Source organism: Homo sapiens, chromosome 1 (assembly GCF_000001405.40).
Source record: "Homo sapiens chromosome 1, GRCh38.p14 Primary Assembly".
Taxonomy (NCBI): Eukaryota; Metazoa; Chordata; class Mammalia; order Primates; family Hominidae; genus Homo; species Homo sapiens.
In genome coordinates, this window is record NC_000001.11 from 84,152,405 (window position 1) to 84,169,428 (window position 17,024).

Genomic DNA, 17,024 nt, shown 5'->3' on the forward strand with positions numbered 1-17,024 from the left:
AGCTTTGAAGCCAGGCATTGCCTTCTCTCTAGCTAGGAAAGTTCTAGATGGCATCTTCTTCCAATAGAGCACTGTTAATTCTGCATTGAAAATCTGTTGTTTAGTCTAGCCACCTTCATCAATTATTTTAGCTAGATCTTCTGGATAACCTGGTGCAGCTTCTCCATTAGCACTTGCTGCTTCACCTTGTACTTTTATGTTATAGAAAGGGCTTCTTTCCTTTAAACCTCATGAACCAACCTCTGCTAGCTTCAGACTTCTGCAACTTCCTCACCACTCTTAGCCTTTATAGAATTGAAGAGTGTCAAGGCCTTGTTCTTAATTAGGCTTTGGCTTAAGGAAATGCTATGACTGGTTTGATCTTTCCAGACCACACAACTTTCTCTATATCAACAATAAGGCTGTTTTGCCTTCTTATCATTAGTGTGTTCACTGGAGCAGCACTTTTAGTTTCCTTCAGTAACTTTTTTCTTTTGCATTCTCAGCTTGGCTGTATGGTGCAAGAGGCCTAGCTTTTGGCCTGTCTCAGCTTTCAACATACCATCCTTACTAAGCTTAATCATTTCTAGCTTTTGATTTGAAGTGAGAGATGTGCAATTCTTCCTTTCGTCTGAACACTAAGAGGCCATTGTAAGGCTATTGATCGGCGTAATTTCAGTATTGCTGTGTCTTAGGGAATAGGAAGGCCCAAGGAGAGGGAGAGAAATGGGGGACTAGCTGGTGAGTGGAGCAGTCAGAGCACACACAACCCTTATCAATTAAGCTCACCATTTTATTTGGGTGCAGTTTGTGGTGCCCTAAAACAGTTAAAATAGTAACATCTGAACACAGATCGCCATAACAGATATAATAATAATGAAAAAGGAAATATTGTGAAAATTATTAAAATGTGACACAGAGACATGAAGTGAGCACATGCTGTAAGAAAAATGGCACCAACAGATTTGCTTGACACAAGGTTGCCCCAACCCTCAATTTGTGAAAAGTGCAATATCTGCTGAGTGCAATAAAGCAACACACAATAAAATGAGGGGTGTGCCTGTATTAATGCATTATTATTAACTGCAGTTACCATTCTATACGATGAATCTCCAGGACTTATTCATCCTGTCTAAGTGAAATTTTGTACCCTTTAGCCAACATCTCCTAAATCTTCCTTCCCTGAACCCTCCCATCCTTCAGCCCCTGACAACCAGCATTCTATTCTCTACTTCTGCGATTTTGATGTTTTTAGGTTCCACATGTGTGACATTATGCAATATTTGTGTTTCTGTGTCTGCCTTATTTCACTTAATATAATGTCTTCCAGGTTCATTCACTCTATCACAAATGAAAGAATTTCCTTCTTTCTTAAGGTTGATAGTGTATTCCAGTGTGTAGAATACCATACGTCGATGCCATATCTTGTGAATAATGCTGTAATGAACATGGGAGTACAGATATCTAGATATCTCTTAGACATACTGATTTCTTTCTTTTGATACATACTTAGAAGCTGGATCATATGATAGTTCATTTTTAATTTTTTGAGGATCCTTCATATCATTTTCCATAATGGCTGTACTAATGTATATTCTCACCAACAGTGTGCAAGGGTTCTGTTTTCTCCAGGTCTTAACCAGTGCTTGTTATCTTTTGTCTTTTTTATAATAGCCATTCTAACAGATGTGAGGTAGTAGCTCATTGTGATTTTAATTTTCATTACCCTCATGAGTAGTGATGTTGAGCATTTTTCATATACCCATTGACCATTTTTATGTCTGCTTTTGAGAAATGCCTATTCAAGTCACCTGCCCATTTTTTAAATTGGGTATTTGTTTTCTTGCTATTGAGTTGTTTGAGTTCCTTATATATTTTCAATATGAACTCCTTATTAGATATGTGGTTTGCAAGTATTTTCTCTCATTCTGTAGGTTGTCTCTTCACTCTGTCGACTGTTTTCTTTTTGCACAAAAGCTTTTAGTTTGATGCAATGAACAAACCAATAAGGAATATGAAGACTCTTAATCAGTAATCAAAAAAACCCCAAACAAAATAAAACCTAGTAGTATTTCATGGCTTCACTGGTGAATTTCTATCATTTAACAAAGAATTAATGCCAGTCCTTCTCAAACTCTCCCAAAATAACTGAAGAAGGGGAAATACTTCCAAGCTCATTTACCAGGGCAGCATTGCTCTGATACCAAAGCCAGACAAGGATACTGCAAAAGAAAATTATAGGCCAATATCCCTGATGAACATAGATGCAAAAATTCTCAACAAAATACTAGCAAATTAAATTCAACAGCACATTAAAGGATGATACACCACAATCGAGGATGGTTCAACATACACAAATCAACATATGTGATACACTATTAACAGAATGAAGGGTAAAAGTTATATATAATCATCTCAGTAGATGCAGAGAAAGCATTTGAGAAACTTTAACATTCTTTTATGATGGAAACTTTTTAGTTATGGAAGTGCTGTACTTCAACATAATAAAGGCTACATAGGATAAGCCCTCAGCTAACATCTTAATAGCGGTGAAAAGATGAAAGCTTTTCCTGTAAGATCATGAACAAGGGAAAGGATGCCCACTGTTAAAACTTCTACTCAATATGATACTGGAAGTCCTATCCAGAGCATTTAGGCAATAAATAAATAAATAAATAGCATCTAAATTGGAAAGGAAGAAGTAAAATCTTTTACATGTGCAAATGATATTATCTTGTATATTAAAGACCCTGAAGACTCTACCAAAAAAACTGTTAAAACTAACAAATTCAATAAAGATGCAGCATAAAAAATTAAAATGCATAAATCAATAGTGTTTCTGCATACTAACAATGAACTATGGAAAAAAGAAATCAAGAAAGCACTTCTTTTTACAATATCACAAAAAATGCATAGGAATAACTTTAACCAAAGCAGTGAAAGATTTGTACACTGGAAACTGTAAGGCATTTATGAAAAAGTGAAGAAAACACAGTGAATGGAGATATCTAATGTTTATGGATCTGAAGAATAAATGTTGTTAAAATGCTTCTAGTATCCAAAGCGATCTACAGATTAAATGCCATCTCTTCCAAAGTTTCAATGACAGGTTTCGCAAAAATAGGAAAAACAATCCTAAAACTTGTATAGAAACACAAAAGACCCTAATATCCTAAGCAATCTTGAACGAAAACTTTTTCCACTGTTAAAAATTGGTCAGTGAGTAATAGCAGATGATCTGAGAGACAAAGAACTTTGAAAATAAGATGTCATTCAGAAAGAAGTAATAAGTTGAACAGGAAGAATGATATGTGTCTGAGAGATTGAATATTACTTTCATGTCCTGAAACCATGGTTGCTTTCAGCTTTGGTGTTTCATTATTGTTATTTAACAAGTATGGCTCACTTGAGAGACAAATAAGTTGTCATCTTTTAAATATTCAGTTTAATCACCGGCACACTTATCTATTCAAATTAGCAAGAATTCCAAGGAGGTCTTTTCTTAGAGTCTTCGTTCAGCTGCTTCAAGTATTGCTATACTCCTAGGAGTTTACTCATTCCAAGGAGACTAATTTGCTCTCCAAAAGTTAGTTGAAGAAAGAGATGGAGATTTTTATTTTTTGGAGACAGGGTCTTGCTATGTTGCCCAGGCTGGAGAGTAGTGGTGTGATCATGGCTCACTGCAGCCTTGTTCTCCTGGGCTCAAGCTATTTTCCCACCTCAGCCTCCCAAGTAGCTGGGAATATAGATGCATGCCACTGTGCCAGGCTAATTTTTTTTAAGTTTATTTTTTGTAGAGATGAGATCTTGCTGTGTTGCCCGGGCTGTTCTTGAACTCCTGGGGTCAAGCAATCTCCTGTATTGGCCTCCTAAAGTGCTGGGATCACAAGCATGAACATATAAGCTAGTGATATCACTTTTAGCCACTGTTGATTTTACCACTGCTACATTGTTTCGTGATTTAAAAGTGGCCCCAACAAATTTTATGTACCTTGTCTTGTTGATGTGATGCCACTGATCCTTGCGGAGACCTCAGTGGTTCTTAATGACAGGATGATTCACTCTTCAGTATTATGTTCATTCAAAGGTTATGTCAAAGGATTTCATTTCCTTAATTTATACTCATATGCTTAGTCATCTTGGCTTCCTTGCCAAGTTGGATGTGTGAGAAGGTACTTTCAGCCCATCCCCACACTGTACCAAAATTAGCCTTTCTTTCTTGAAATCTAGTCCAGGGATAGAAAACCAGTGGTCTGTGAGCCAGATGCAACTTGCAGATATGTTTTGTTTAGTTCTCATGGTATTTTTAAAAATAGTTGAATTTTATATCATTATATAAAAATATAAAATACCGTGATTTTAAATCAAGAGATTCATATAAATATCTGGACTTTCATATTCTTGAACCATTGGAGAAACTGATTTCAGTGACCTCTTATTCTCTCAGGAGAAAAAATGGGTTGCACTGAATAATTGTCCTCTTTAATCAGATATACACTATCTGATTTGCTCCAGCATTCACTATTTCTGTTGCTTTACCTGCCTGGCCTCTGTAGTCACTTGGATTTAGCCTACAATGTCTCTACTTTTCAGCCTGAATCACCAACCCAGATTATCATTTCCCCTTTGATAAAGCCTCCTTAAGCATATATTCCTACTTGTAAGCCACAGACCTATCACTAAAATCTATGAAAGAGATTTTTGTAATTCTGAACCTTGAGGAGGATGGAGTCTAGGAGTTGATCCCTTTCAGAATTCCTGTTTCATTTTTTTATGCAGATCTATTTACCTTCTTTACTTTAATTATCTCTGTTTACCACAGAGTATTGAGAAGGCATGGCCCTTATGAAGCCTCAAAAGATTTTGTTAGATCATTCCCCTGAGGTAATGGATGCCTACCAGCCTTACATTTGCATAATTAAATTGTCCACTGAAATGATTCTTCCCACAGCAAAGATCTATTTCAAGCCAACTGTTTCCTCCTCGGTAGAGAAGCATTTGACAACTTTTTTTTTAATTGAGGTATGTTTTCATAACCATATAAATCACTCATTATAAGTGTATAATTCAGTATTAATTAGTAAATTTAAGGATTTGCGCAACCATCAGCACAAATCAGTTTTAGAACATTTAATCACCCACAAAGTTCATTTGTTACCCATATCCAGTCAATCCCCACTCTCACCTCAATCTCAGATAAACACTGATCTGCTTTCTGTCTCTATAGATTTTCATTTCTGGATGTTTTATATAAATTGAATTATATAATATGTTATCTTTTACTTTTGGCTTCTTTCACTAGAATAATATTTTTTAGGTTCATCCATGTTATAGAATATATTAATAATTGGTTCCGATTTATTGTTGAATTATACTATGTTGTATGGATATAATACATTTTGTTTATCCATTCTGCAGTTGATGCACATGAGAATTGGTTTGTTTTTGGCCATTTGGATAATGTTGCTATAAATATTTGAAAAGAAGTCTGTGTGGACATATGTTTTTATTTCTCTTGGGTAGATATCTAGAAGTAGAATTTCTAGGTCATATGGTAAATTTATGTTTTAAAGAAATTGCCAAATTGTTTCCCAAAGTGGTGGTACCATTTTATGTTTTCACCAGTAAGGTAAGAGGGTTCCAGTTTTTTCACATGCTCATCAATGCTTGGTATCATCAGTCTTTCTTTCTTTTTTTTTTTTCCCCTCCTGAAACAAAGTCTCACTCTGTCACCCAGGCTGGAGTGCAGTGGCGCAAGTGATTCTCCTGTCTCAGTCTTGAGTAGCTGGCATTACAGGCATGCGCCATCACTCCCGGCTAATCTTTGTGTTTTTAGTAGACATGGGGTTTTACTATGTTGGCCAGGCTGGGCTTGAGCTCCTGACCTCAAGTGATCCGCCCGCCTCAGCCTCCCAAGTGCTGAGATTACAGGCATGAGCCACTGCACCCGTCTTATCAGTCATTTTGATTATGGCCATTATGTGAGTGTGAATCCGTTGTTCACAGTTGTTTCACTTTGTATTTTCCTAATAACTTTATGATGTTGAGCATATTTTCAAGTTTTTATAACCCATTTGTGTATGTACTTTGGAGAAATGTATTTTCAAATCTTTTGCCCACTTTCAAAATTGAGTCGTTTTTCTTCTTATTATCAATTCTCAATAATTCTTTGTATATTCTGAACTAAGTTCTTTTCCAAAAATATAAATATCAAATATTTCCTTCTAGTCTGTCTTATGTTGTCATTTTTAAAAATGATGTATTTGAAGAGCAAAATTTGTAATTTTAGTGAAGTCCAATTTATCGTTTTTTCCTTTTTGGATTGTACTTTTGGTACCAGATCTTAAGAAATTTGTATCTAACGCAAGGTAATGAAGATTTTCAATCTGTACTTCCTTCTAAAAGTCTATTTTTTGAGTTAATTTTTATATATGTTGTGAAGTATGAATTGAAGTTCTTTTTTCAACATGTAGATCCATTTTTTACTGCACTACTTGTTAAAAAGAATTTCCTTTCTCTATTTAATTATCTTGGCATCTTTCTCAAAAATCAGTTGACCATAAATGAAAGGGTTCACTTCTGAATTCTCAATTCTGTCCCAGTGAACTACATGTCTGTCCTCATTCCTATACTACACTGTCTTGATTACTAAAACTTTAAGGTAAGTTTTGAAATCACATAGTGTAAGTCCTCCAACTTTGTTCTTCTTTTATCAAAATTGTTTTGTCTATTTTGGGGTCCTTTGCATTTTCATATAAATTTCTGGATCAATTTGTCAGTTTCTAAAGAAAAGCTTTATTAGATTTTCATAGAGATTATATATTGAGTTCATAGATTAACTTGTAGAGAATTGTTATTTTAACAATTTTGAGTCTTGGAATCCATGAACATGAAATGTCTCTCCATTTATTTACATATTCTTTAATTTCTTTAGCGTTCCAGTCTTGTAAAAATGATTTCTAAGTGTTTTATTTCTGTTGATATTATTGTGAATGGATAAGTCTTAATTTCACATTTGGATTGTTTGTTGCTAGTATATACAAATGTTATTGATTTTTATATTGATCTTATATCATCCTATGATGTTGCTAAACTCATTTTTTAGTTCTAGTAGTTTCTTTATAGATTCCTTATAATTTTCTACATATAGAATAATTTCATCTGCAAATAAAGACAGTTTTATTTCTTCTTTATCCTTTAATATCTATTTTCTTGCCTCATTGCACTGGCTAGATTTCCCAGTACAAAGATGCATAGAAGTGGTGAATGCCTTATGCCCTATCTTAAGGGGAAAGCGTTCCATCTTTCATCATTAAATATGACATAAGTATAGAGTTTCCCCTGCCCCACATGTCCTTTATCAGTTTGAGGAAGTTCCTTTCTAGTCCTCGTTGTTGAGAGGTTTTCTCATGGCTGTTGGATTTTGTGGAGTGCTTCTTCTGCATATATTGAGATGATTATTTGGTTTTATACTTTATTAATATAACATAGTTCGTTAATTGATTTTCAATGTTGAACCAACCTTACCTTTCATGGAATAAATCCCACATGGTCATTGTGTATGATCCTCTGTATATACTGCTAGATTAAGTTTGCTGGCATTTTGATAAAAGGTTTTTGCATCAATGTTTGCAATGGATATTGGTCTGTGGTTTTCGTTTGATCTTTGCCTAACTTTGGTATTAGGCCTCTTAGAATGAGTTGGGAAGTGTTCCTGCCACTTCTGAATTCTGAAAGAGTTTGTGTAGGGTTGGTATTATCTTTGAATGTTTCATATAATTAACCAGTGAAGCCATCTCGACTTGAGCTTTTCTTTGTGGGAAAAATTTTAATTACTAATTCAATATTTGTGTTACAGGTTTATTTACATTTTCTATTTCTTTTTTAGTTAGTGTTGGTAATTTGTGCCTAAGAGTTTTTCCATTTCATCTGTTGTCTTATATGATTGGGATAAGGTTGTTTATAGTATTCCTTTATAATCCTTTTAATTTATCTAGCATCAGTGGTGATATCATAGTTTCATTACTGATTTCTGTAATTAATATCTTCTGTTTTCTTTTTGTTCATTTTGTTTTGATATTTGGTCAGTCTAGTGAAAGTTTTATCATAAGACTTTTGGTTTAATTCATTTTTCTCTACTGCTTTTCTATATATTTTACTGAATATATTATATATAATATAATACTATAATATATAATAATATATACAAAGCTTAAGTTACTGATTTGGAACTTTTCTATTTTACTCTAAATGGTTAAAGCTATGAATTTTTTTTCTAAACCTGCTTTATCTACCTCCAATAAATGTAGATATGCTGTAGTTTATTTTCATTTACCTCAAAATATTTTCTAATTTCCCTTGGAATTTGTTTGTGATTTAATATCTAAATATTTAGAGATTTCTAAAATTTCTTTCTGTTTTTATTTATAACTTAATTCTGCTGTGATTATAGAATATATTTTGAAAGCTTTGGCAAACCCTTCAAATTAATTGAGACATTATATTTTCTAGCATTTGCTTAATATGTAGAATATCCATGTGTGCTTGATAAGAATGTGTATTCTGCTGATGTTAAATTCTGTATTTTATAAATGTCAAGATTTTTTTGATGGTGTTATTTAAGTTGTTTGTCTCTTTTCCAATTTCCTGTCTAGTTTTTCCATCAATTATTGAGAGAGAAGTATGGAAATTTCCAACTATTAGTATTAAATATTTTTCTCCTTTCAATTCTGTCCGTTTTTATTTTAGTACTGTGGGGGCTCTTCTGTTCAATGCATATGCATTTCTAATTGTCACATTTTTCAGATGTATTGGCCTTTTATAATTATGAATGTCCCTTTTGTCTCATAATTTTTCTAGACTTAAAGTCTATTTTGTCTAATATTGATATAGGCATTCCAGCTGTCTTATGGTTACTGTTTGCATGATGAATCTTGTTTTCCTGTTTTTACTTTAGCCTATTTATATCTATGAATCTAAAATGTGTCTCTTATAGATGTTATATAGTTTGATCTTGATTTTTATCCAATCTGATAATTTCTGCCTTTTGATTTGTGTTTCTTCCATTCATAGTTAATGTCACTATTGATATGGTTGGATTTGTAGCTTCCATTTTACTGTTTTCTGTCTCATAGTTTTTGTTGTTCCTCTTTTCCCTTTCTACCACCTTCTTTTCTATTACGTATGTTTTAATTATTTGGTTTTGATTTTTAAAAATAAAATTTAAAAGGCATTTTCTTAATATTTCTTTAGAGATTATAATACACAAGATTATAATTTATCTTATCATAGTTTACTTCAGGATAGTACTGACTTAATTCTAGTGGAATAGAACTGCTTTGATCCAATATAGCTTCATTTCTTTTCCAAATTTGTGTTTTTTCACATATATTTATATATTTTATAAACCCAGCAACATAATGTTGTAATTATTGCCTCATACAACTTTAAGTCTCTTAAAGAAATTAAGAGAGAACAGAAAAAATGTGTATTTATATAGCCTTTTATTTATATATTTACCATTTTTAGTGCTCTTCATTTCTTTCTGTCAATTTGAGCTGTTGTCTAGTATTATTTCCTCTCAGCTTTAAGGACTTAGGTATTTCTGCTTACAACAAATATCCTCCGTTGTTTCTCTGGGAATCTTTCATTTCACCTTTATTTTTGGAGGATAATTTTCCTGGATAGAGAAATGTTGGTGGATGGGTTTGCTTTCTTGTTTCTTTTAGCACTTCATTTCTCTGCCTTCTGGCCCTACTTATTTCTAATGAGAAGTCATTAATCATATTTTTCCCCTGGACGTGATTCATCATTTTTCTCTTGCTGCTTTCATGACTTTTCTCCTTACCTTTCAACAATTTGACTATGATATGTCTCAGTGTGGATCTTTTGGGTTTTATTCTAGTTGGCATTGGCTGAGCTTCTTGGATCCATAGGTTACTGTTTTCCATCAAATTGGGACATTTTCAGCCATTATTCCTTCAAATGTTTTTTCATCACCCTTTGTCTCTCTCCTTTTTTTCTAATTCCCATGAGATATATGTTGGTTCCCTTGATATCCCATAAGTTTCTCAGGCTCTGTCCACTTTTCTCCTGTCTTTTTCTGTGTTCTTCCGACTGGATGATTTCCATTGATCTATCTTCCAGTTCACTGATTTGATCTTTTGCTCTTTTAAATCTGCTGTTGGGCTTACTATACTGAGTTTTAAAATTTTGGTTATTATACTTTTCAAATCTGCACTTTTTATTTTTAAATAGTTTTTCTTTCTATATTGAAAGTTTCTATATGTTGTTCATTACTGTCGTGTTTTCCTTTAGGTATTTAACACAATTTTCTTTTAATTATTTTCATATATGTATAATAGCTATTTTAAAGTCTTTAAAGCCTTTGTCTGCTAAATTCTACACCTGGGCCCATTCAGGGACATTTTTTATTGACTGCTTTTTTTCCTCATTGTGGATCACACAAGTTTTTGTCAAAAATGTGTTTTTTAAAATAACATGTGGTAGTAGCTCTGGGTTTTGATTATTTTTTCCCTGAGGGTTGGTTTTGTTTATTTTTTTATTAAAAACTTCCTTTGTCTTAATCTATGGAATCTGTATCCCTCATGATATGTGACTACTGATTTCTCTGCTTAGTTTTTTCTTCTTATTCTAATTTTTATTTTTTAACCTGGTTTCCTAGGGATTGCCCTGTGTCTCTGTAGCTTAATTGTTATTTAATGATTGATCAGAGGTTGTACTCAAACACTGGGACCAGCCAGTGCTGATGGAACTGTGTGCAAATTGAGGAGCACATGCAGTATTTAGGCAGTTCGGAAGTCTGTACCAGCTTTAACTTTCCACTGGGCCCTCTTTCGTGTCCTTTGTGCTTGTCATTACCTCCTAGTCAGATTGCATAGCAAGGTGGGCAGACTGGGTGGCCTGGTGAACTTACGTAGCCTCTGTCTGTCTCATCTTCATTTACCCCATGCTATGTTTCTTGCTATACCACCAATGTGTTGCTTAGCCCTACCAAGGCCATAGCCTTAGACTGTTAATTTCTTTCAGCTTGCTTTTTTCGTTGACAATATCACTAATGAGTTTTTTGGCCTCCACTTCAAATCAAATCAGCCCCCTCTCATGTCAGCCCCTTCCAGAAGTGAAGCTGCTAGTTTTCATGACCAGCCCTACCCTGGTAGAAGTACTCTCCTGACTGAGCTATAAAGGAGTGGGAGCAGCCCCAGGCAAGAACATCTCTGACTCCCACTGTTTTTAGGCAGAGTTCAGTGGTTCGTCACAAATAAATGTTTCTTAATTTGTTGTTTATGACTGCTCGATTTCCAGAGCCATGAAATCATTGTTTTTGATAATTCTGTTCAGCTTCATAGTTGTTTCTTAGGAAGATTTCCTGACTTACTTCCACATCACCAAAAGTCCTGCCTCACATGGCAACTGTTAAAATGGCAAGTTCACGTGCTGAAGTTCTACTTAACAAGGAACCATTCTATAGATTCTTTGTACCATTTTGGTACAAATTTTGGATCTCTGGTAATCAAAACAATCTGTTCACCATGCTACCCAGTCAGCCCACCTTGCTATACAATCTGTCATCTTAGTCCTGTTTCATGTGAGGAATTTTACATTTCTGCAATAATTGCCAGTAACTTTTTTGTGTATTATTTTCTTTTGAATACCACATGGATGGCATCTGACACTGTTTGTAATGCTGAATTTAATGGAAGTTTACAAATAAGTTATTCTATGATTCTCCTTTAAAAATGCAGATATACATATATGTATATAATATTATTCTCTTCCATAACACAGAATGTTTAAATGGTTAACATTTGTGCTGCAGTATAGCTTTCTGGCTCATGAAAAATGAAAGCTATCAGCGATCTCGGCAATAAGATTCATCGCCAATAGTCACTAGCAACAGCACACAGCATTTTAATATCAGTGAGGTCCACAGCTAGCAGTAAGAGCTGGTGTAATTGAAAGACGTTTAGGTGCAATCATTCTGCTGTTTGCTCCTTGCCAGGTTCAACATGGGATTGTGTGAGTATTTGAAGAAAACAGCAATTTTTTCATATCTTTGAAAGATGTAAAAAGCGTAGATTAGTGCTTAAATTTAAGAAATCTGGTAATTTATAATCATGTGGCTCTAAAATAAAAAGGTATTTTATTTGTCTGGTGGATTAAAGCTTTAGAAAAGCTACGCCTTGGATACAAGTGAACCGATAATTCTGGTCTAATGTTGCCGTGGTAACAACTCATGCTGATATAATTGAGAACATCTTATACATCCTGGTTCGAACATTTTCTCCCTGCCATTTTGAGTTGTTCTAGTGGTATATGAAGGAGGCTGGGATAACTAGCTTGAAAGAAATTCAGTCTAGTTATAGACATCTTTGGCATTAATCTGATGTTTACTAGTGATATCTCATGCTAGGCAGTTATGCTTTGCTTCTAGGGGCTTCTCTTTTTAAAACAAAAGAAAGCTCTTTTCGTTTTCTGTGTGCTGCATGCTCCAGTGTGTGTGTTTACACCATCGGTTCTTCTCCCTCTAGAGATTAGCATAACTCCCTTTGCTGTTGGATTGTTATTTTGAGCAATATGTTTTGGAAAGGTTGGTTTTCATCATGAGTGGTAAGTATGCTCTCTGAGACTCTGCAGCTGTTTATTTAAAAAATATATTTATAAGAGGAAAAAATATTTTTAAAGGGACAGTTATAAAGCCACAGCTACTGTGAATTATATTTTGTGGTGACGCTTTTGTACTTAGGCATTATAGTAAATTGCCTTCAAAAACCAGTAAGAACTGTAAACAATTAATGGCACTATTAATAATCAATACCAATAATCAGTTTCTAATTTTCTTTATGGTTCGATTTATTGTATTTGTTGGGCACTGTTATTAATTGTGTTATAAATTAGTAAGTAGACTAACCATAAGAGAGGATTTTCTTTTAGTATCTGATCCTGAAGATAATTAGTTTAACTTTCCTTTGATTAGCTTTGTCATTCCTAATGCTAATTTTTATTAGATTATTTTTATTAGATTTTTTAAATAGTAATTTTGAAAATAAGATGCTGCCAGAATTTTGTTGATGTCTTGGTTGCTTTTACCTACAATTTATTGAGAAATAAGGATTTAATGATGAAATAATTAGAGCATTTTGGTTTTGTAGGGTTTGTTAAAATTTTTAATAAACAGTTTTTGGGGGAAATAATTTTTTAGAATAAGTACACTTGTGACAACTAGTCTTTTTTGTTATAATGTGATTTATTTTTTCTAAATATTTCCAAAACTGTTTTTTTGAAAAAATATACTACAGTATGTACTGCAGTTTATCATAGGGTAAAAGCTGTCACTTCAAGCCAAACCTGCAGCTAAAAATAGATATCCTGTTGTTAGAGTGAAAAACATTTGCTTAGAGCATAATTCATTAGCATCTTTTGCTTAAATAAGATGCTTGGAAGTTAACCTTTGATTCAGATATTTTTAAGAGAAGTAGAATATGGTTTCTCTGATAACATAACAGTCCTATAATTTGCATTTATAAGATTTGGAATTGGAATTTAGAAACTGAAAGGTGGATTTTTGCTGTATAATGATAGAATTCAAAATTGACGAACCTTTTCTTTCATAACTGGAGATCACCTCATTATAACCAATAAATATTCTTTATCCTGCTACAGTACAATATAAACCTCTTAAACACTGTTATATATTTGTTTATAGAATAATATTAGATATTAAAGGGACATTTTAACATGCAAAATACTAAGAATTAACTGGATTGTTATTTTCCTGTTACTGAAATAGATCTGTTTTAAATAATCTGCTGTTTTAAATTTGAACGAATATTACAAAAACAACTTAACATTCCTTAGGATTTCTATGGATATCAAACTGAATATACCTGGTTGTCATACATATATTTATTTGAATCAGGCCAATGCATATTTTCTCTTTGAAAATTTGGCATATAATCTAGAATCTTTAGGTAACCACCATGGTGTTCTGGAGGTTTTACAACAGGATGGATTGGATTTAGCTGAAGGAAAATGTTATTGCTTCACTATTGCTTTATTTTTCTTTAAAAAGCTATGCATTGTAGATAGCATTTGATATATTTGATCATATTGGCTTTCCCTTCTAGCCATTTTATACCACAAATAATCATAGTAATCACAACTAGGTGTTCTGACTTTGTCGAGAATGCCCAATTTCAACTGATTTTAATCATGTCATAAATGGTTAAGTGTCCTAGCCATTTCAACTTGGAAAATTACAAGAGAAGTGTGGTTTTATTTGTAAAAATAAGCAAATGCTAGGCCTTTTAATCTAAGTCTGTAACTACACATGTGATATTTATGTGTACATGGTACTTTTCTCGTTATAAGACTATTCCTTTTATCCTTTGCCAATTAAATGTTGGTTTTCTCTGAGAATCTATCTTTTGGCCTTCTTTTGATGCTACATTTTCTCCAAAAAATCTCATCCATGCCTACATCTTCAGTCATTACCTGAACGTTCAGTTCAAAAGTGGATTTTCTTTTATCATCCCTAAATCTGCTCCATTTTCATTGACTCTGATATCTGTTAATGATCTCACTGCCCATACAGGAAGTGAAAACAGAAACCTTGGTCATTTCTAACTTGTTTCTTACCCTCAGACATGTACTCAGTCATTAAGTTCTATTGATTCTACATCAAAAATCACTCAATATTCTCCAGTCTTACTGACACTGGGATGGCTTCTAGATCTCTTCTCAATCCTATTATAATAACTGCATTACTGGTCTCCCAGCTTCCAGTTTTATATCCTTCCAGGCCATTTTCCACACTGAAAATTTTAAAATGCAAATATGCCCATTTTTTAAACTAACATGAAAACTTTCAGTTACTCCCTATTGCCTTTAAAATAAAAGTTAAACTCCTTATTAGGTCACATGCAATCAATGACTTACCTTTTTGGTTTTGTTTGCAAAATCTCTCTCACAAATTTTGATCTAGCCATACTATATTACATATAATTCCTTGCTACCTTTCCATATTTATAGTCTTTATCATAAAAATTTAGAGAACCAGTCATTACCTCCGACACTGACCCTGTGGAATTAGGTGATTTCTCTGTACTCCCAAAGCAAACTTACAAACTACAACAATTATTGTATTATATTGAAATTATAAATTTGTATGTCACTTTCTAATCTCTAAATGTTGAACTCAAGTCAAGGACAGTGCCTTATTCATTGTATGTTTCTAGTAGTCACCCCAGTACCCCAAACACAGCAAGGTACCCAATAAATACTTATAGAATTAATGATAAACTAAATATAATTCATTTTTACATACTTGAACAGTTCCCTTACATTGCCAGTGAAAAATACCAGTGTGGGTTTTGACTTTTTTTGGTTCAGAAAAATACAATAACCATAGTATTTACTTGTTCCTTTATCAACTTTGTAGGATGAAGTCATATAAAATGCTTAAGAAACTAAATTGTACCAGTCAGTACCTTTATCTTTCTAGTATTTAAAAAATTGGTTATATGTGAAAAGAGCCTTCACTTTCTAAATGTTTTTCTTACTCATAACTCTTTTTGTGAAGTTTTTGCCCTTGTTAAGCAAACAAGGTCTATAAAGAAATACTAAAGGAACTTCTCTGAAAATCAGTCAAACTATTGTAAGGCCCTTATGTTTAGAGGTTGTAGCAACTCACTCAAATAAGCTTAAGCAGAAGAAGATACAGGTATTATTGGGATGCAGAGGATGTCATGGAGCTCAAAGGCAAAAGTAGAGTTGAGCTGTTCCAAAGAGTAGAATTGATTTGGAAAGCTGACTGGAATCATAACAGTACCTTTCTCAGTTTTTCTCTCTGAGATCACATGACGTCTTTACTTTTTTCCTTGTATTTGCTTTATTATCCTCACTGTGTAGCGAATAGGTTTCTCTGATGCTTGTGCAAAATGGAGCTTAGTCATCTGAAAGCTTCAAAGTTTATGTGCTCTCCTAGTTCATGTGCTTTTTGATGTAACTAGCATCATTATATCAAAATCCTGGGTGAGAATCCTGGCCCAGCTGTAGTTGAGGGCAAATCTCTGAAGAAGAAGGCATGAATCTGCTATGAATTACAGCACCATACAGACTTGAATACCAACACTTCATTAATTTCCCTTTCTAGATTCTGACTGAAAATACTGTGAGAAAAAAAATTGGGAAAGCAGTACATCATTTCTGAAATTAAAGATGGTTATTTGCCCAAATATGTACAGGATTTTGATGATCAGACTCCAAAGTCTAATTAACAGTTTTAACTTGAGTAGCTTTTCTTTATGGAAAAGAAAGAAATAATAGTTTCACCCTCACTAACTGGGAGGGATGAGGAAAATAAGTGGAAGATCCAACACTGCTCATTACTTTCATTCTAAAACAGCTATAGTGGGACAACCAAGAATGTATTAGGCCTTTTCAAGTTGAAAAGTGGCCTCTCTTTAAATATAGAAGGCTCTTTCCTGACATAGAAGGCATCACTACCAGCAAGGAATCCTATAGTCCTGGCCACATTCCCATTTATGAAGGTCACTGGATTACTTACCTGATAATGTAAATATGTGTACGCTAAATGATGTGAAGAGTTTAGTCTAACAGCATCTAAACAGGAAATGAGAAGGGCCAAAGAAAAACCACTTACCTTATTTGGGGCATTTGTAAAGTTTTGAAAAGCTTGTAATTGTTCTTGAATGAATAAAAAAGAAAAGCAACAATGTGGAACCTATAAAAGAGGTTATACACCATAAAACGATAAAGTTACAGTCTCCAAGAGGTAGAGAATGAACTTATATTTAGAAAATATTTGTGCAGGAGAGTATAAACACAAAAAATTATAGATGCCATCTGTGTTAATTCTTAAAATTTCAAGTGAGCATGGAGTTAGTGAACTAAGACATGAAACAAAGATAAAACAAGAACCTAGAATGAAAAGATTACTGGCTGAGAGGCAGGAATGGAAAAGAAGCATAATGTTGTGATAGGAAAAAGTTGTAAGAAATAAA

General features: G+C 33.5%; 1 protein-coding gene across 35 annotated transcripts in view, besides 2 other annotated features; it reads left to right on the plus strand.

Moving 5' to 3' along the window:
• PRKACB (protein kinase cAMP-activated catalytic subunit beta) overlaps positions 1-17,024 on the plus strand; it is a 160,420-nt gene that overhangs the window by 74,326 nt on the left and 69,070 nt on the right. For 15 of the 35 annotated variants that reach the window (NM_001242860.3, NM_001375560.1, NM_001242861.3 and 12 more), the window contains exon 1: positions 12,290-12,609. The exons of 8 other annotated variants lie outside the window; for them this stretch is intronic. In NM_001242860.3, the coding sequence (NP_001229789.1) occupies positions 12,603-12,609 (7 nt within the window). In that variant the 5' untranslated portion in view covers positions 12,290-12,602. Of the gene's footprint in view, positions 1-11,900; positions 12,019-12,289; positions 12,610-17,024 lie in introns of those variants that run through there. 12 more of the 35 variants (NM_001242857.3, NM_001242859.3, NM_001375562.1 and 9 more) reach the window with 1 other exon arrangement.
• Positions 3,100-4,299: an enhancer, noted in NCBI's record as "CDK7 strongly-dependent group 2 enhancer chr1:84621187-84622386 (GRCh37/hg19 assembly coordinates)". NCBI's record gives its function as "activates an origin of replication core promoter dependent on BRD2, BRD4, P300/CBP, MED14 and CDK7 cofactors, with strong dependence on CDK7, by STARR-seq in HCT116 cells {active_cell/tissue: HCT116}" and the evidence as "EXISTENCE:reporter gene assay evidence [ECO:0000049][PMID:35650434]".
• Positions 14,602-14,651: a silencer, noted in NCBI's record as "silent region_1017". NCBI's record gives its function as "represses an Ori minimal core promoter by ATAC-STARR-seq in GM12878 lymphoblastoid cells {active_cell/tissue: GM12878}" and the evidence as "EXISTENCE:reporter gene assay evidence [ECO:0000049][PMID:35858748]".